The sequence below is a fragment of the Homo sapiens genome, chromosome 14 (assembly GCF_000001405.40).
Source record: "Homo sapiens chromosome 14, GRCh38.p14 Primary Assembly".
NCBI classification, from domain to species: Eukaryota; Metazoa; Chordata; class Mammalia; order Primates; family Hominidae; genus Homo; species Homo sapiens.
Genome location: NC_000014.9, coordinates 89,184,520 through 89,205,073, shown reverse-complemented (window position 1 = coordinate 89,205,073; position 20,554 = coordinate 89,184,520). Strand labels below are relative to the sequence as shown.

Sequence of the window (20,554 nt, the reverse complement as noted above, 5' to 3'; positions counted from 1 at the left end):
ATTCTTAATAACCATTCTAGAAAATTCTGTGGAGATTTTCTTTAGAACCCATTTCCCATTCGCTCACCAGAAAATCAGCTCTTGCACTATAATTCTTTTATTTCCATGATACCTTTATGTATAGTCTTAATCCTGAATCTACATTTCCATACTTAATTGTGTCTAAAATGAAATACTCATTAACAGCATAACGATATCTTTTGTTCTCAATGATGGATGGATGGATGGATGGATGCATGAATGCATGGATGGATGGATGGATGGATGGATGGATGGATGGAGCCTATGTCTCTTTGTATCAAATTGAATATGCACTATTCAGGGAAAGCAAAAGCAATGGCAGTTATATTATCATAGCCTTCTCATTGTACCAATGTAGGACTTCCCAGGAACCAGGCTCTGCTTTAGGTGTGAGGCAGACAGTAGGTGAAGGGCCCGTGTAAGATAAAGGAAAATGCAAATGCTTTTTTGGCGCTTTGTTTTATTTTTCAACTGATAATATGTGAGGGTTATTTCTGAATCAACACATCTCAGAAAACTATAAAAAAGTTTTTTAAAAAAAATACCAAGCATTTGATTGGCTTTTCTATTTTTTTCCTAGTCTATTTTTCGGAGGAAGAATTTGACTAGAGAGAGTAAAAGGCTAAGTGTTGAAACTGAGGCCTGGACAGAGCTCGGTGCCCATGAGACCTGCTGTGAGAATTGAGAATCAGCAGCCCCCGAATTCACTTTAGAGGAATAGCTGAGGAGGGCAGCCCAGCCATGCACCATCATTTCCCGTGAAGAGTGTACCACAGCCACCCCAAGATGGGAGTGGCTCTCAGTGTGGACAGACCGAAGCCAGAATAAGTATCCCAAGTCTCCACTGGGAAATGTGCTTTCATGTCCTTTGGTTCCTCTTTGTGCCTGAAGCTCGGGTTTCTAAGGGAGAAAGAGAGAGATCGCTCCTGTGGGTGGTTGTAGTAGTAGTTGTGTGTGTGTGTGTGTGTGTGTGTGTGTGTGTGTGTGTGTGTGTGTGTGTAAGGGAGTATGCCTGGTTATACCGGTATTTCTTTCTGACCTTGGGATAAGATGGCCCAAATATGGCTTAAATAAACCAAGCTTTAGTAGTACATTATGCTTGTGGCCTTGTGACTTTTAGTCTGGGAGCAGGGTAACCAGAGCACCAATGCTGGCTTTCTTAGCACTAAAGGCGTGCAGAAGTCCCTGCTCTGTTGGCTCGTTACCAGCTTCCCTTCTGTGGGGTGCTCTGGGTGGATGAGGACCGTCAGACTGGCTGGAGGAAAACCATAGAAGATTATAGTCTCAGCTTAAAGTAAGGAGCCCTGGGAGCGGAAGAAATGTGTGACATTTGCCCACTCTTCCTTGCCCTCCACCTTGTCCAGCCCCAGCCCAGCAGCATATCTGCCTGCCCCATGCACATGCTGTGATCTGAGTATTCATACCACACGCCCCCGCTTCCTTAAACACTCTGCCCGCTCAGCGCATGACTCCAGTGGGGCAGCCTGGTCAGGACTGGTTCTTCTGCCCTCCATGCCCTCCTTCCCAGAGGAGGGACATGCTCCAGGCACACCTAGCCTGGCAGACAGCCTCCCTCGGGTGCCACAGACACAGGGCACTATGAGGCTTGCTGGTCTATGTGGGAGGGAGAACAGATCTGGGCCTTGGCTGGATATCCAGAGCCTCTCTCTGAAGAACGCCCTAGACTTTGATTTGGAAGTCCACTGTAGCAAAGGGAGGGAATTCTGCGATGTTTGCTTGAACTGCTCTTAAATCCTGTGGTGCAGGCATAAAGAGTCAAGGTGAGAAACCGCACATCCCTCTGAAGTCCCCTCCCCTCAACATCTCTACCTATTGCATTCTCGGGTTTCAGCCCCCTGGAGTACCTATTGCTGGGGATCTGTAACTGATTACTTGATGGGCTGTAAATAGTTGAATTATTTTATTTTTAATATGTTCTCCTCACTCCCCCTCCCCCCACCCCCCCCACATTCCCTGGTTGCAGATGGGTTCTTAGAGCACCACTGGACCTGTCTTAAAGTTTAAAAAAGGGAAATGGTGGGTCACTCCTGGCTGTGGAAGATAACCATTGCCCCAGAGCTGTAGCATCTCACAGCTGCAGAATTTACGTGATCTTAGAGATTTAGGCTCCAAAGTTCTGTGGGGTTTTTTTGTATTACTAGAAAGGAATACCTGAGCCTGCGTAATTTATAAAGAAAAGAGGTTTATCTGGCTCATGGTTCTGTAGGCTGTACAACTTCATGGCGCCAGCACCAGCTTCTGATGGAGATCTGAGACTACTCCACTCATGCGAAATGCGGAGGGGAGGAATCACAGAGTGAGAGGGAAAGCACGAGAGAGATGGGGGAAGGGAGGGAGGTGCCAGGCTCTTTTTAACAACCAGCTCTCACGGGAACACATAGAGCAAGAACTCACTCATGACCACAAGGACAGCTCTGAGCCATTCACGAGGGATCCTCCCCGTGAACCAAACACTTCCAGTGAGGCCCCACCTCCAATGCTGGGGATCAAACTTCAGCATGTGCTTTAGAGAGGTCGAGCACATTAAACTGTAGCACATTACAAATCCCCTTCCAGATGTTTGAGAAGCAGCTTTCTAGTAAGGAAATCAAAAGGCAAAACCTTTTGTAACAAAGAGATTGCCTCAGCAGAACAGTGGTTTATGGCATAGTGGGACCGGGTGTGTGATTCAATATGGTAGAAGTCTACCCAGAAAGAACACAGTGAGGTTTTGTTCTCAGACTACGTCCTGTGTCTCTATAATGAGAGGCAGGTGTCAGGTGTGGGAACATCACTGGCTCCATAGTTCCTTTTTAAATTATTTTGAGTTAGTATAAGACATACATCCCCAGGCAAAGTGAGCCTATGTTCAGAGTCACCCTCCAGTTCTTCAGTGCTCGAGCATTAGGGAGGAAGACAGTGGAGAGGTGGGCACGCAGTTAGTGTGTGCCTTGAAGCACTGATGGCAGGGTTCTGCGTGGTATTTACTCTCACTAACACACCTGCCAGTGTCACTCTGAGATGGAATCTTTCCTTCTGTAAAAGATTATTTGCACATTGACCCAGTTGAAGACAGAGTTAATGAAGATGCCGTGCATGTGGAAATACTCAATTCTCAGCACTGACAAGCACTGCCATGCCTGCTGGGGCCAAGCCACTATGAGCACCCCCACAGCTGTGGGAAAGTTGGTGCAGGGGTTACCAGCAACCACGAACCCTTTTACTAGAGGAGGAAGTGGCTTCTGGCGTGGGAACTGGGCAGGAGCTATCTTCCAATAAGTGGAGAGAAGTGATGGTTGGGGAAAGCCAATCACTGGGGAAGATGACCTTATAGCATAGAGAGGGGGAAAAACAGACTCAAGAAAGATGCACTGGTGGTCCCTGGCTGGCCGTGCCCAGGCCCCTATACTCTGAGCATCTCCCTGGGCCTTTGGCTGTGGTCTCAAGGGGCTTCCTGGTCCCACCTCTGGCTTCTGGCCGTGGCACATCCTTTCTCTTGGACACCAGTGTGGCCAGGCTCTGAGGTGCTCTGGGGTCTCTTGGGAGTCTCCATTCCTGTTCCTGCCCTGTGGAAGCCTTCTTGCACCTGAGGCTGGCTCCAGTCCCCTCCTGGGCGGTGAGCTTCAGCTGTAACACTGGATGAAGAAACCAGGAGCAAGCAGGACATTTTCAAAGCAAAGAATGCCAGACTCTAGAGGGCTTCGGCATTAATCGCCCTCTCCTCCCTCCCTGCAGGGTCAGAATCTCTTCCACGGCAACCCCAAATGTCCCCTGTGCACATGGCTATGAGCTACTGCCATCCCCAGAGAGGGGTGACCCAGGAGACAGAAACCAGAGAATGCAGTAAGCAGAGATTCACAACTGGATGAGATGCAAAGGGGAAGAGACTTGAGAGGAATGTGTAGTTTCTCATTCATCTATAGGGAGCTTTAAAAAATTTAAAAAATATATAAACTGACCTCAGACAAGTCCAGCACAGTTAACAAGCCAAACAGAACCAAATCAAAACCCCCTGCCTCTTCAATAATGGCTCTGTCTTATTACCCATGGGACAGGATCATAACTTGGTCTGGGTCATTTGTCACCTTTGTCCTGGGCTTCAAATCTAGAAGTTTAGATTTTTTGGTATTCTCAGTTTCTGTCCACATGGTTCTTTGAGTTTTTTCCTAGGCAGCTGCTAGAAAGATTTTGATCAACTGGTCAAAGATATTAAAGAAGTCAATGTTGATCAGTAGGAAAATTTAGAGTGCCAGATAAAAGAGGTGTCTGGGATGGCAGTGTCTTGTCAAAGGGCTGGAGGTGATGCGTTCACTTGCTTTGGAATCACAGATTCGGGAATGTGACGGCAATGTGACGCAGACCTCGCTGCTGAGGCGAAAAGGACGTTAGAATTAAGGGACTCAGAAGACATCAAAGTTAAAGCGGTTCTTGTTGCCCGGAGAAAACAGAAATACGAAAGCATCTGCCTGGGGAGTATCAAGGTACTCCTTTCATTTCTCCAGCAGAGGAGCAGCAGGGACAGTGATCGACTCTGAGGAAGTGAGAGGCCCGGAGAGCTTCCAGCCCGGCCATCCTAACACCACCTTAGAATTGGGGCGCCTGAGACAGCCCTCAGCACCAGGCTCCCAGCCCAGGATGCTCTTTGAGCTCTGTACTTACCTTCCAGTAGCTTTTCCTAGAATCCCCTTCCTGATTAAGTGAAATGAGGGGTAATAGATGGGCAATTTACACGAGTTAGAAAGATGCCCCCTGTTGGGGAGCTGACTTGGACAGATGTATTCCGAATTTGCAGGGTTCACTGTGATACTGTTCCTCAGAGCCCGTACATTCTTCATTTAGAGTTTACCAGTCACTGTATTTAAGCTGGAAAGACTCAGGAAATGTGTGAATGGGAGCCTCATACCCAGAGTACCCCCAATGAAATGTAGAGCTTACTTGGAGATGTGTGTGTTTGTTTGTTTGTTTGTTTTCATCTGTTCTTATCCCTTTGGCCCTAAAAATTATCCAAGCACAGTCATCCGTTGGGTATCCATGGGGGATTGGTTCCAGGACCCCCTAAGATACCAAAACCTGAGGATGTTCAAATCTCTTGTATAAAATAGTGCAGTTTTTGTTGTTGTTTTTGTTGTTGTTGTTGTTGTTGTTGTCTGAGATGGAGTCTCGCTGTGTCGCCCAGGCTTGAGCGCAGTGGCACAATCTTGGCTTACTACAGCCTCTGCCTCCTGGATTCCAGTGATTCTCCTGCCTCAGCCTCCCAAGTAGCTGGGACTACAGGCACCCACCACCACACCTGGCTAATTTTTTGAATTTTTAGTAGAGATGGGATTTCACCATGTTGGCCAGGCTGGTCTTGAACTCCTAACCTCAAGTGATCCACCTGCCTTGGCCTCCCAGAGTGTTGGGATTACAGGCATGAGCCACCACAAATAGTGTAGTATTTGTATAGATCATTCATCCTTTCCCCTTTCCCCCCGAGTCCCCCACTCACCTACCAACTTAATTAGATCATCTTTTGTTCCAACAAACAGCTGTTAGTTTCAGTTTGCTTAATCATTGCTTTGAGCTTGCCTCATGTCTTCAGAGCAGCAAGAGTTTGGGGTGCTCTTTGATTCATTTTTTGGAGAAGAAAGGCCCCTCTTGGTGTTCTCCGTCTCCAACTTCCATCCTAAAGATGATGCGTAAAATCACAACTTGGTGTCCAACTTAGTGGGAGATTTTTGTTCCCTAAAATCCTGCTCATCAGAAGCTTGTGCACCGGGCTCACTGGCGTCACTTTGTCTCCTGTCTCACTGTGACAAGAACCCCTAAGGTGTTTGCAGTTCATGTCCACAGTGAATCCAGTCTCCTGTTTCCCACTTCATCCCTCCTGCTCACTCGGGCAACTTCTTTCTCAATAACCTTCAGCCAAAAGGGAAGTGGAAGAAATATTCATGGCAAATGACGTCAGTAGAGCTGACGGCACCCCGTGTTCTGCTGCCTTCAAGATCAGAGGCGGCTGTTATAGATATCTTGATTGATTGCAACAGAAGCCAAAGGGTATGGCTCTTACTTACTTCAGTGATTTCAAAGCAACAAATGTAGATATCCTATCTGTCTTAACCGATGCCTAGGGATTTTGCAAAAAGGAGGAAAAGAAAGACGTCAACAACAAAGTGAATTGTATATCTGTTTACTTTTGATGTGTTCTATTGGAGATAGTTTGGTTTGAAGAGCTGCTTTTCTTGATCATACCACATGTATCTGTGAGCTTAGTGTGAGGTTTCTCAGCCTTAGCACTATTCACCTTTTGGACTGGATCGTTCTTTGTGGTGAGGGCTGTCCTTTACGCTGTAGAATGTTGAGCAGCCTCCCTGGCCTCAGCCCATTAGATGCCAGTAGCACCCTCCAGCTCTCACCCAGTCATGACAATCAAAAACATTTTCAGACATTGCCATACATCCTTGGGGGAAAGAAGTGCAAAATTGCCTGCAGTTGGAAATACTGGCTTAGTATACAAGGTGTGCGTTAATGCAGATCTACTCAGCATTTCCCCACAAAATCCACAGCTTACTTGGAGTTTTGTTTATTTGTTTGCTTGCTTGTTTTCATCTGTTCTTATCCCTTTGGCCCTAAAAGTTATCTAAGCACAGTCATCCCTCGGTATCCATGGGGGATTGGTTCCAGGACCCCCTAAGATACCAAAATCTGAGGATGTTCAAGTCCCTGATATAAAACAGTGTAGTATTTGTATGTGATCTATGCACATCTTCCTCTGTATTCTGTATTATCTCTAGGTTACTTATAATACGTCATACAATGTAAATACTATGTAAATAGTTGTTAGATGGCATTGTTTGGGGGAATAATGACAAGAAAAAAGCCTGAACATGTTCAGTACAGACGCGGCCATCATCTCACTACATAGTATACATGTCAGCAACAGTGTAACATTTTCTGGAATTATTTTTCCCTAATATTTTTGATCCTTTGCTGATGAAATCCATGGATATGGAAACCACAGGTACAGAACCCATGGGTATGGAGGGCTGACTGTATTTTTTCTTCATTGTAGGGGGTTAATTAATGCCCCAGTTGTGTCATTCTCATGCAGAGTTAGAGAAAATGGACAAAGATATTTCAAAGCAAAGAAGTCTAGTAATGTTACAGAAGATCTGGCAGCACTTGTCTTCCTTGATGGCTTCTTTGGATGGCATCCTTCATTTACTGCGACAGCCGTTCTTCGCCTTTCAAACACTTCAGAATTCCCTGACAGATTCCTACAAAGATTCCTTCAGCTAGGGTGGAGCCTGATGTTTGGTTTTCTGGGGTTCCCGTGGAATTTCACTGCACATCTGGAGGCTTATGCCCTGGGGAGCATCCAGTACTTCTCCCCCAAGCTGGGTGCCAGGCCTCAGGCAGCTGGATTCACCCAGGAGCAGATTGGACAAGCCATCCATTTACTTGTTCACTAACTATCCAGCACTCTGGATGTTGCAGGCACTGTTCTAGGTGCTAGGGAACACCCTAGTGTATGTATCTGACCATGTACCCGTGCTCTTTTTTTTTTTTTGACACAGTCTTGCTCTGTCGCCCAGGCTGGAGTGCAGTGGCACCATCTCGGCTCACTGCAACCTCTGCCTTCAGGTTCAAGCAATTCTTATGCCCCAGCCTCCCGAGTGGCTGGGACTACAGGTGTGCACCACCACATCCGGCTAATCTTTGTATTTTTAGTAGAGGTGGGGTTTCACCATGTTGGCCAGGCTGGTCTTGAACTCCTGACCTCAATCAATCTGCCACCTTGGCCTCCCAAAGTGGTGGGATTACTGGCACAAGCTACCACTCCCAGCCTACCCGTGTTCTTATATCTGATCATTTCTGTCTGAGTGTGTGTCATCTATTATTTGGTATTTTTGTTTGTTTGTTTCTTGAATTTCTTTTATTCAGTTAAAGAGATTTCATCATCCTATAAGACCCCTCAGGTGTGAGGGGGAGCAGAGAGAGCTGGAGAAACAAAACACATTAGCCCTGTGGAAAATCACATGATTTCTAAGAAAGTAATGGTTATGATTCTTAGGCTTTCTCTATAGGAAGTGTTTCATTGTCATTGTTTTGTTAGGTTGGTCAGCTCAGAGGTGCTGAAGGCAGTGCTTACATTTTTGCAGCAGGTATATATCGCAGTGTGGATTGAACCAGGGGCTTCCTGCTGGCCTTGTATTCTTAGTTTGTTAAAGCAAATGGCCTCTCCAAGTCACTTCCCACTGAAACTAAATCCCAGAGGAAGCGGAATGAACATGGTTAGAAACCACACCAGGAACCCACAGAATACCCACACCAGGCTTGATGGATTGCTGTGAAACAGACCTGGCAGGGACCCATCAGGACAGGCTATGGCTTTCTGGAGGCAATAGTGTATTCTCCCAGCCTTACTAAGGCTGTTAGCTGCCCCTAAGGTCTTTGGAGTAGATGCCCCATTTGGTAGGTGTTCCTTGGAATCCGTAGCTCTGGCAGCCACAAGTCACAAAGGGAGGAGCAAATCAAGGGACATTACAGAGCAGGAACTATGTGGAAAGGGATGAAAAACCAAACCGGCCCCTTCCAAGTCTGCAGCCACCCACCCATCATTTTAAAATGAGTGGACTCAGGCACAGCAAAATGAAAGGAAAGTCAGCAGACCCAGGACTTAAACCCAAGAATCCTCATGTCTAGTGCAGTGCTTTTCCCGTCCTGTCCACGGAGGAGAAGCCTCTTCCACAACCCATGGAACCATCTCAACAGTTTGAGAAACTGAGGCTCAATATTTTTCTTCACCCAAATAGCTGGACCGTTGATTCTGGAAACTGTGTTACCTGTTTGTCTCCCTGCAGCATAATATAACTGTGTGTGTACATTCAAAAGAAGAGGATTTGAAAACATCTTTAAGACGTGTGACCGTTTTCCAGTCTCGTACTACAGAGAAGAGGCAATGTGATAAGACAACTACATTAAAGATGAAAATTGAAATAGGCTGCTGGGAACCGGTCCAGAGGAGAAGTAACATTTGTTACTGAAGCATGGGCGAAGGAGGAATTTTTTTTTAATATGGGATTTGAGATTGGCTCAGTCTGGATGATGGTTGGTCATAACTCTATTCAGCACCCATGACAGCATGCTTGGTGTGATACTGAATTAACCAGCAATCAATGATTTAGGTACTGATGGGAATGCTGAATTAGGTACTGATTGCTGAATTAGGTACTGATGGGAGGACCCTGCCCATCCAAAAATTTAAAAGGTGGCACTTGCTTGTTCTCTCGTACCCCCCTGTCTCACTTCATTCCCCTGAGATATAACGTGAAGCACTCCTGCCAAGTGGGTCTCCATTCCTAGAAAGAGTTCCTGGCCAAAATGCCTTTCTCTTTTCTTTTGCTGATAAACTGGGTTGGACCATCTAGGGAAGATCCTACAAAGCCAATCCACTGCTCCCCTCCTGGAGATCTTGTCCTGGGCCCTTTACCCTTCACAATCAGCTATGCCTCTGAAGCAGAAGCCCCCGCTGTCCACCAAACAGCTACCCAGTTCCCTGAAATGCTTCCAGCCACAAATCTCCAATGTCTTTGGTCCGAAGCATCCTACCACAATAGCGTGCCTGCATCAGAAAGTTCCTCTGCTATCTAAAGAGGTAAACCACCAGTAGTCTCTCTTGACCACAGAAAATTTGGACTTTTTTATAGAGACCCAGAGTGTGCTGATGAGAAGTAGCACATCACCTAAGGTAGAGAGTGGGAGTAAGCCCCAGAGAGAGGCACAGGAGGAAGAGAGTGGGGCAGCACTGTGTCCTCATAGGAAGGGGTGGGGTAGAGAGATCAAAGGGAGGGGTGTTTGGGGTGAGGGGACTGGGAGAAGTGTGCAGAGGCAGTGCCCTTAGGTGCCCAGAATCTGTAGGTTGGAGTACCGTGCTGAGCACAAGTTATTTAATCAGCCCAAACACTTTCTTTCTACCTTCTGGTAGTTTGCAATCTAAAGAAAAGGCAATGCCTGTACAAACAGTGCAGTGTGTATTTATGCACAAAATTCTCACCGTAGAAAAACTTTTGATAGCATATACTAATATAAAAGGCTGACGAAATAAGTGAAAAAAATTTTAAGTTGCAGGAAACTATTTTCCATATAAAGCTATTTTTTAAAAAAATAGATTTGCATGCATGAGTACGTATATATATGTGTGTGTGTCTTAGTTTTTCAATGAATATGTACATATATGCTTATTTTCACATACATAATTTTTGGACATATATATAAGAAAGTATGATTTTGAAAGTAAGCTTATAGGGAAGGCATTTCTCTCTCAAATTATATCCATCTAGTGTTTTTTTTTTTACAGTGAGCACATATTACTTTCATGACTTTTAATAAAAAGGGAAAAACTTAAGTATTTTAATAATAGATAAGAGCAAGCATTATAGTATCTCTTATCTTTGGAGAGGAGAGACAGGAGGCTGTTGGCTCTGAAGACAGAAGCACTCACAGGGTGTCAGGGTGTGACAAGGAGAAAGGCATATGAGACGTTCTAGCAGAGAGTCCAGGACACTTTTCCATAGAAGGATGTCAGACTCATTAGGCTGCTTGGTGTTCAACCCAGGAGCCAAAGAGGGTCCTCCTGGCATTGATCTACAGTGCTAGGTCTGTGCTTAACCAGCTTGCTAGTTAAGGAAAGAGGTCTGAGTGATTACTTCTATTTTTGTTTGCCTGTAAATCTGGATATTGGACCAAGAAAGTGTTATATCTAGTACACTCACAAATGAAAACATAAAAGATGACACTTGGGAAATCTTTGCAATTTTAGGGTAGGCTAAGATTTCTTAGAACACAAAAGACATTAAGCTATAAAAGAACAAAATGGTAAACTGGACTAAAAAATTAAAGACTTCTGCTTATTAAAAGACACTCTTAAGAAACTGAATAGTAAACCATGGACTGAGAAAAAAAAACCATGTATCTCACAGAGGACTTATATTCAGAATATTTTTTAAAATCTTACAACTGAATAATACTAGTTGAACCACCTAACTAAAAAATGGGTAAAAGACTTTAACAGACTTTTCATGTAAGATACGAATGGCCATCAAGCACATGAAAAGATGCTCAAGGTTATTTGTCATTAGGGAAATAAAAATGAAAACCCCAGTGAAATATTACTATATATCCCCTAGATGGCTAACGTTTTTAAAGATTGACAATTTCAAGTAGTGGCAAAAAAAATATGGAGCAACTGGAACTCTCCTACGTGGTACACCCTCTTTGGAAAACAATGTAGCAATTCTCTATAAAGCTAAATATACATTTACCAGCAATTTTCCAAGAGAAATGAAAACACAGGTTCAAAAAAGACTGGTATAAAAGTTCACAGCAGCTTTTTTATCATATCCCAAACTGGAAACAATCCAGTGTCAACCTACCGGTGAATGGATTGCGGTATTTCCGTTCAGTGACTACCACTCAGCGATAGCCATAAGGAATGAACTATTGACACCCCATCTTTGATGAATAACAGAAGGTGGGGGGGTGGGGGGTCATAGGTGGATGCTCTACAGATCCAAAGCACCCCCACAAGTGTGCCTTGGGAATGTCCCACTTAGGTTCTCCCACATGTGTGATTATTGATGGAATACTTTTCCTTTAAGGTTTTCTTTCTCTCTTTCTGTTTTCTTTCTTTCACTATGTCTTCTTTTTATTTGTGTCCCTCTACAATTTCCTTTAATGTGTTTTGGAAGAATACTGAAATATTTTCTTTAATTTTCTGGCCATATAAATAGGAAAAGACTCCAGACTTCCTCCCTGTGTTTCTTCTTGTTCTGGGCCCAGCAAACCTCCTGGCCACCGAGAAAAACTTTGGGTACGAGTCACCTGCGGAGGCAGGGACCATGTAGCCAGGCCAACCATGGTCACCTGTAGCACTTTCGTTCTCAATAATGGCAGAGACCTTTTGCTTGGCAGGAAAAAATCGTTTTTCTTGGCTACCCCCTGAGAAAGGAAAAGGCCCTTTCTAAAACGAGGGGCAAGAGGGAAAGGCCTGAGGCCTTAACAGCCCCCCTTAGGAACTGCTTGTCCCTTGTGACTTGTGAGATGCCAGCAAGAATGCTGGGGCTGTGAGTGCTGCTTGCAGGCAACAGGCCCTGTGGGGGACCAAGGGACCCGGGGCAGTGGGAGCCACAGGGGCAGTGGGAAGAACTTTTAGTTTTTTAGCTGAATGGTTTTATATATAAATATATATATTTTTCTATATCTTATATATTTATATATATTAAATATATAAAATTCAACTAATAATATATAAACTATTATATATGATAGTATACATATATTAACTATTATATAATAGTATAAACTATTAACCATTATATATAGTAGTGTATATTAACTATTATATATAATAGTATATATAAACTATATAAGATTTATATAGTTTATATTATATAGTTTATATAGCTTATATTATATAGTTTATATTACATATAACATATGTGTTATATATTGTATAATTCATATGTTATAAAGTTATATACAACTATTATAAACTAATATATAGTTTATAAAATGTTAACTATTATATGTAATAGTATATATAAACTATAGTTTATATATAATATATAATTTATGTATTATAAACTATTACAACTATTATAAACTGATATTTTGTAGTTTGTATATTAACTTATATAAAATAGTTAATATATAAACTGTATACTATTACATATAACTATATATTTTATTAATGATCATATATAATAGTATGCATAGTTTATTATATAGTATATATAAGTACTTAATATATACTGTTATATATAATGGTTAATATAATATACTTAATATATAATATTCATATACATATTTAATGTGCATTGTAGTTAATATATTAATATATAATATATATTAATATCAGTGGGAAATGGTGACTGTTTAAGGTATTTCACCCCTGGAGTTGCCAAATATATAAACTGTATATATACTATTATATATAATAGCTAATATAGTATGTATATTATTATATATAATAGTTTATATATGTTAGTTGATGATTAATGATTAATTATATTAGCTAATATATATTATATATTATAGTTATATATATGTGTATATATATATATACTAATATCAGTGGGAAATGGTGACTGTTTTAGGAATTTCACCCCTAGGGTTGCCAAATAAGTTAATTTACTTGTTTCTCATATAATGTACTTATTAAAATAAACTTTTAGTCCATTATGGAATGTAAGTAACAGGCCTCCTGCAGGCAAAATAGAAAAAAAACTCTTCAAAGTCAAGTTCTATTTTTTTTTTTTTTTGAGACCCTGTTTTCGGGAACCAGCATTATCCATATCATTAATCGCTTGTGGGCCTCTTTTTACCAATCATGTTACTCCTTTGGAATTAAACCACACATATAAAGTATGAAAAATGTACTTTTTTAAACATTAAAAAAGTAATTTTCTAGCATAATATCCAAAATAAGGTGCCATGGAGCCATTAGTAGCAAATTGAATTTTTTGGTATGTAATTTGTACAAAAACTGACAAGTGCGAGCCCCTTGTCCCCCATCATTAGTCATTGGGTTTGGCGGACACAGAGGCAGTAATCTGCAAGGGAAGGCATTTTGATGTCGACTTCAATTGCACACTTCATTTATTTGGACAGGGCACAGGCGGCAGCTTCTGTCACGCGGCATCACCGCACTATTAGTGAATTTCGCCCCAGGGCAGCTGGGACGCTGCGCTGGGGCAGATGTTCTTTTCAGCCTATTCAGTGACCATTCTTGGGGGTTGTTTACTGTTGCCATGGTGACCTTCATTTCCATAGCAGCAGAGCTGCTGTTTCTCAGAGGAAAATGAATTTAGTTATAAAAGGATAATATTTTTCTCTGTCTCTATATAACCTGCCATCTGTCAACTGGTGGATCAGTAAGGATTCAGAAACCTATTAAGAATTATAGCAATGGAGTGATGAGTATTTTTTTTTTACCCATATTAAAAGCAATAATAGAAGTGGAAGCAAACATTGTGCCCTCAACATGACAACTTTACTTTTTTCTTTATATTTTAAGTGCTTTTTTTTAATGCCTTCACCACATCCACACCACTGTTACAAACACATAACCTCGTGAAACACAATTTACATTCTGCTGACAAATGGAAATGACCACATGTCTTGTTTGTATCTCACTAGATGCAGGTGTATTTAATGCTTTCTTGATGCTGTGAGCTTTCCCCAGTTCATTAAAGATTCATATGGCTGAACTTCCTATTGTCACTGACTCTCCTGCTCCTCACCCCACGGTAAAAGCTGTGGGGGTGCATAGATCAGCAATTTATCAGGAACATACAGTGCAAATTATAAAATTAACAAAATGAGAAGAAACCATGCTTGTGTGATGAAAAATTTACTAACATGATCCTTAAATCTCATTCTAGAATACCTTTTCTTCTTCTCAAATCCCACTGGGAAGAAAGTCGCCTTTGGGATAGCTCATCCAGTTGCTGGATATTTTTTTTTTCTCTGTTGCATTCATAAACTGTAACTTGCAGGGGGAAAAACACACACACACACCGGCCCCGTTGTAAATAATGTTATTTATTGGTTGATTTTTCCAGATCCTGACATTGATGCTGCCAGTGCCATGATGCTTTTGAATACTCCCCCTGAGATACAAGCAGGTTGTGAGTAGATATTTCTATAGCCTACAGCACCATAGTTTGTGAACTTAACCTTCTCATTTATACACCAGGTCATAGGAAGAACTAATGCTAAAGTAGAACTTCCCTTATAGAATCACTTTAAAAGCTACATAAGTGCATGATTACATGCATATGCATATAAACATGCAGCCATGCATATGTATGAATGAATGCATAGGTGTGTTTCCAAGATGAGAAAGTTCTTATATAATTTCAGGACTTAAGACTTGGGGAAAGGGAAACAGATCCTTTAATGAGTCCCAGTGAAGAGGCCTTCCTTGCTCCTGCAGGTATTGTTCCTGTGAGTTTGTAGTTTCTCCTAGAAGAGGCTACATGGGGTCAACTTAACCCTAATGGACCTGAGCAGTACCCATTTTTAGAAATTTCTTTCTCTTCTGGGACCTCATCGCCAGGCTGCCATTTTGGAGAAGAGTCTAGTGAAATAGGCCTGTTGGAGCCTGGAATATCTTTGAAATGAAACCACGCTACCAGCTTGGACCATTTCTATCCAGCCTCCCAGGCTGCCCCAGATAGCAGGGTAGGGCTGTTTAGCTAAGCAGGACTCCCATCCTCACCTTCTTTTTGTTGGCCTTCAACAATGTCAAGTTTGAGACAACATTTCCTTACTGAGACTTCTCTTCTCACCACCTGAGGTTTTTACCATCTCTGGAGATAGTCTACCATGGTTTTAGAAAGATCTCTTCCCAAGGGATGAAGAGTGACTTCAAACAAAGATATCTGTCCCTTCCTTCTCCCCACTCGAGGTCAGTACCAGTGCCCACATCCCATACCCAGCTAGAACCCTGTTGAACACACAGACAGCTGGTTTACCAAGGTCTGCTCAGCTTGTTGTTAGGACATTGCTGTGTTACAGCCTCTTACTGATGAAACACGGTAGTGAGGAAATAGTGACATGAAGCAGCAGACGCCACTACAACACCACCGCTTAGGGGCTGGCACTCACCTATCTCCTTCTTATGGCTAGGCCTTCAGCTCATTTTGGGTTCTGGCTCTCTGAGGGCCACATGGCTTGCTGAGCAGTGGGAAGTCCCTGCCTTTGGAGTGGATGCTACTTCACACAGGAAAACATCCATCCTCAGACCCAAAACAGGTGCCTTTTGTTAGTATTGGACTACGTGGAGTTCCAGGCCATCCGTCATAGCCCCTCTGCTTGTCCCAGCCTTCCTGACAACTTTAGGATATTTGACTCCAACCTTTCTTATTTGTTCCTATTTTAAAAGACCCAAGAAATTCAGCTGAGCATTCTCAGGGAGACTTGTTCCTCTGCCTGGAGCTGCCATTACCTGTTCCGAACAGTCTAGAGTTCTGATTCTCTCTTTCCAAACTCAGACCTCCAGCCATTGCAATGTTGGGCTGCCTACACCTCTGACATGCAAACACCACTGCTAAGCAGATGTGTCACTGGCCTAGCTCTATAACTAGCAGTTAACCTGGAGTGTGGTTTTTAAATGATGTTTCATATTTCAGAGAAATGTATATGTTTTTAAATTTTTTTTTTTAAATAAACTTCCATTCTTAGATGGCATTGCAGGAAAAGTACAGACCAGATTGTAATCAAGTTCCAGGCTGAAAAGATTTCTAAAATTAAGTTGCATAACTCAACCCAGTGGAAACATACTGATTTCATCAGAGCCATGTAAGATTCGAGCACCTTCCTTTGCACCCAGCCACTACACAGTGATCATTAGTTTCACAAAAATACTTCCAGCTGGTTGCTGAAGTTCAGAGGGAAAATGGGACCATGACCTTCTGCTAGAAGAGGCTATATGGGGCCAGCTTAAACGTAATGGACCGGAGCAGTACCCATTTTTAGAAATTTCTGTCTCTTCTGGGACCTCATCACCAAGCTGCCATTTTGGAGAAGAGTCTGGTGAAGCAGGCCTGCTGGAGCCTGGAATATCTTTGAAATGAAACCAAGCCAGGCAAGGGGACTGATTGATCCTTCACAGATCCTCAGCAGCTTCCATAAACGTCCATGATTACTGGATTCTTGAGCATAGGTAGGAAAGGAAAAAGGCTTCTCCTGATGAGTTGACAAGTGAGTTGTTTTCAGTGTTCGCCTCCCCTCTCCAACTCTGTAATACTCAGACTGTAAATACTTCTTTTTCCAGGGTAGCCACGGTCCTATTTACATTGAAATGCTGAATTTGAGTTTTACAAGCTCAGTGTTCATGTTTTGAAGCTGTAGGCTCATTTTTAGAAGGCTTTTTTTTAGAAGGCTATTACCGCTGTGTGAGAAATCCAGCCACAGCCTTCATGAAAGCCCCAGGCCAAGAACGGGGCTCCAAGACAGTGGAAGGAAAGAACCCGGGGTGCCTACAAAGGTCACAGAAGGAGACGCTCATGGACAGGAATAACAGAGAAGTAAATGTGAAGACTGGGCAGAAAGTAGGGAGTCTACCTTTGCATTCACCGTCCCATCTGACCGCCAGCCCTGGTTCAATGCCCTGGAGGTCAAGGGCAAGTACAGTCAAGGAGCAGGTTGTAAGGACCCCAAGGATTGGAGCAGTTCCTTAGCAAGGGAGTGAAGATGCATGGAGCGTCTTCTCTGTGCACTTGGGAAGCCAGCTGGCCCATCCTCCCCATAAACCCAACCAGAGGAATGTATCTGCAGCTTGTGGTTAGCTCTTTCTGGCTTCACTCTTTCTCCGTGCCCCCTACCCCCGCCACCTTTCTTTTCATTTTATATTGCATAACGTTATTTGCCTTGGGATTTGAGGCAGTCCTTTGCCTTCTTAAGGGAGAAGCATTACAGGCAGAATGATTAGGCAGTCATCCCCTGCCCTGCCGGCATCGCCCAAGGCCTGGAAAAAGTGAGAGGCTATTCCTGTGCAAAAATGGTTAAAGGCAACAGCCAGCCAGCCACAGTGATGGTGTGTGGGCAGCCTATGTAGGGGTGTTTGTGTGCCTGTGTCCCAGTGTGGATATATCCCAGGTCTTCTCTAGGTTGAGGGGTCCTGCCACTGCCCATGAGTGGAGAGTGTGGCTTCGGAGAGCAACACATTTCCTGTCTGCGCAGAGCCTGCCTGTATTCCCCCGTGGGCTGGTGCTATGGCTGGGCTCTGTTGATAGAGCTTCCTCGTGCGGTGCTATTTATAGCCCCTTGTTTTCACCTCTTGGGCTGCTAGATGCCCCTGCTTGCATGGGGGCCACCAACCTAGTCTCTGCTGCTGTTCTGCTCCCAGCAGATAGAGGCTGGCCTGGATAGCTGGAAGGCTTTTCCTTTGTCCTCACCCTTCATAGCCACTCCAGGTCACCAGATGGCAGCCACTTAGATCTTTTCTCTTCCTCCTACCCTTGCTCAGCATCTGTAAAGGTAGCTCAAGGCCGGCAGACTGGCCACAGTCCAGGGTCTGAAGCTGACTAGGTTGCACAAAGGAAATGGCTCAGACTCTGGTGAGAGCCCCAGGCAGAGCAAGCCTCTTTATCATTGGAGGGTCCGTGTTGCCCCAAGGGAGCCCAGCACACCATGTCTTGCTTGGGCTGGAGTCCCTAGGGGTCCCTCCACCTCTCATTTCAGTCTAATGCTTCACTTGCAGTGCAGCGGCAGTGTGCACCTAATAAAAACCTCAGGCTACAACATTTTGTCCTCCTGGCAGCATCCGCTGTGCATGTGACATTAGCCCTTTTAGACTTTGCCCGTTTGCAGCATAGGAAACATTCTGCAAGGAGAGCCACCATGTCTCACGCGCTCTATAGGATGCTGCCTTCAGAACAGTCAGCATGGGACATGGCTGGCTCATTACCCCCTGGACTTTGGATTATGCTCCAGTCAAATCCATCTGCCTACCCCACCCTCTCCACCCTCAAAATGGCTATGTAGATTCATTCCAGCTTCTAGTATCTCCTTCAGTACCTGCTTTGCAGTTCCCGTTTGACAAGCCCCGTGAGTCAGCTTTAACCCCAATGGAGGACTTGTTAGTCAGGAGAAGCCAGATCTCCATTACTCATCTTCAAAGGCTTATATAATCCCTGGTTGGAAGGTTCCCAGAGACAAACTAGATAATAAACAAAACAACAAAATGGAACGAGGGAAGGGGAGGGATTGGGGGAAGGCGTTCCTCCCCCTGCCTGGAACTGGGATGTATGTCAGACACACCAGGCACAGCAGAGGGAAGACAACTAGGAAATAGGCTGTGTCTCCCCGTGCCAGCCCCCTCCCCAGTGTGCTTCCAAGTAAGCAGGTGGAAAGGCTGACTTTAGGAAAGGGAAGGATTAGCGGAATCACCTGCTGCTCAGCTTATGGCCTCTGAGAGAGTTAGCCAGGGCTGCCCTCCAAAGGCAGCGGCAAGAGCTCAGAGGTTAATTTTAGAAGTTGTGAAAAACCAAGGAAGCTAAGCCTCAGGAGGGGAGCTGGGGAAGTGCTGAGGGACAATGTAGCGTGGAGGAGTTTGTCTTGGACCTTAGACTTTTTTCTTTTTAAGATTCTCAGGATTGCGTTATCCCATTTAGAACATAGCATCTACAATGAGCAGTGCTGCTCTGTTTGGCTCTCTTCTTATGTGTGAAGGTTGCCCTCTTGCTAGTTAAAACCAGAAAGCTTAAGAGTCCCTCTCTAACTGCAGAGAACGTGGCTGATGGCAAGTGTGGGGAAGTGTGGCGCCAATGTCCCTCATCCTGAGAGCCTCAGGGGTGGGTATTCTCTCATCTAAAAGATAAATACGTAACTGGCCTAACCTGCAAGGATGATGCTAGAGGCCTGGGCCTTGTCTGGAGAGAGCCACAAATCCGAGGAAGAAGTTGACTTTCAACGTCCAGCCCTTTTGATGTCTTACATAGCTGGAGGCCAGTGCACTTCAGTACATCAGGTGCGTCAGATTGGCTGTAAAGGTTTTGGTCTTTCGGTGTCTTAATATGCTCTGAGGGAAACAGAGTAAAAGGAAGGGAAAGAGTAGATTTGCTGGTAGAGAAAAGGCTGAAGAATGGACTCATGTTCCCACCGAGCTTCCTAATGTAGAGTAGTGAACTGTGGGCCTCAGAATGCCTTTCTCTAACAGAGCCATTTTAGACTGGCTGTGACTTGTTCTTCAGAAGCCACGTTCCTGACACTTGGGGATGGGGACAGAAAGGAGAAAGACAGGGGTATAGTTAAGTGTCACAGCTGGCTTCTGGCAGCTGGTGAGCAAACACGAGCACATCCGCCATCTCTCCATGGAGAAGACTGCCAATGATGAGGACGGAGAAGTGCCAGGGTTGGCAGAGGCAGCATTTAGTTGCAGCTCATTTGAGAACAAGCTGCAGGATTCAGAGGAAGAGCTGAGTCTACATGCCAGGAGTCTTGTGAGGTTCAGGAAATAGCTCAGGGAAAGCCTATTAATGCTGCAAGAGAGCTTTGTCCATGAGATTCTCTTTGAAGTGAATGCTGTTCATTAATCAGGAAGATGTTTTAATAGGTAAATGCAGTTAGGAATAACTACAAAAAGCATAATGGGCTGAAAGTATTTCCCCATGTCCGGACCCCTTTCAGCCCTATCCTTGTAGATCATTAGTAAGAGGATGCTGGAGAGGTGATATAGGATGGCAGAAGGATGACGGTGACGATGACGATGATGAGCTTACATAACGAGCCAGCCACTGAGCTAAGCCGTTGACCTAGCTTATCTTATTTCATCCCCAGAGCAATCCTGCAAGGTATGTTTAAGCCTCCTTCACCAGTGAGGAAATGGAGACCCAGGAAGGTGAAGGCACTAGGCCAAGGCCACAGAGCCAGTAACGGGGCAAGGCCAAACTGAGGCTGTGTGGCTCAGAGCTCACACTCTTAACCACTGCAGTATACCTCATCCCTGAGGGTTCCGTGAGACAAGGAACATCCAAAGAACGTGGTC

At 44.0% G+C, this 20,554-nt stretch overlaps 1 protein-coding gene across 2 annotated transcripts in view, besides 2 other annotated features; it reads left to right on the top strand.

The window, feature by feature from the left end:
• FOXN3 (forkhead box N3) overlaps nt 1-20,554 on the top strand; it is a 462,989-nt gene that overhangs the window by 414,092 nt on the left and 28,343 nt on the right. Inside the window, exon 5 of one of the 2 annotated variants that reach the window (NM_001085471.2) lies at nt 14,625-14,690. The exons of the other annotated variant lie outside the window; for it this stretch is intronic. Coding sequence (NP_001078940.1) covers nt 14,625-14,690 — 66 coding nt within the window. The remainder of the gene's footprint in view (nt 1-14,624; nt 14,691-20,554) is intronic. 2 annotated transcript variants of the gene reach the window in all.
• Nucleotides 3,283-3,342: an enhancer, noted in NCBI's record as "active region_8848". NCBI's record gives its function as "activates an Ori minimal core promoter by ATAC-STARR-seq in GM12878 lymphoblastoid cells {active_cell/tissue: GM12878}" and the evidence as "EXISTENCE:reporter gene assay evidence [ECO:0000049][PMID:35858748]".
• Nucleotides 16,536-16,720: a silencer, noted in NCBI's record as "fragment chr14:89654698-89654882 (GRCh37/hg19 assembly coordinates)". NCBI's record gives its function as "represses an EF-1alpha promoter that drives an FKBP-Casp9 reporter gene in an ReSE screen in K562 erythroleukemia cells {active_cell/tissue: K562}" and the evidence as "EXISTENCE:reporter gene assay evidence [ECO:0000049][PMID:32094911]".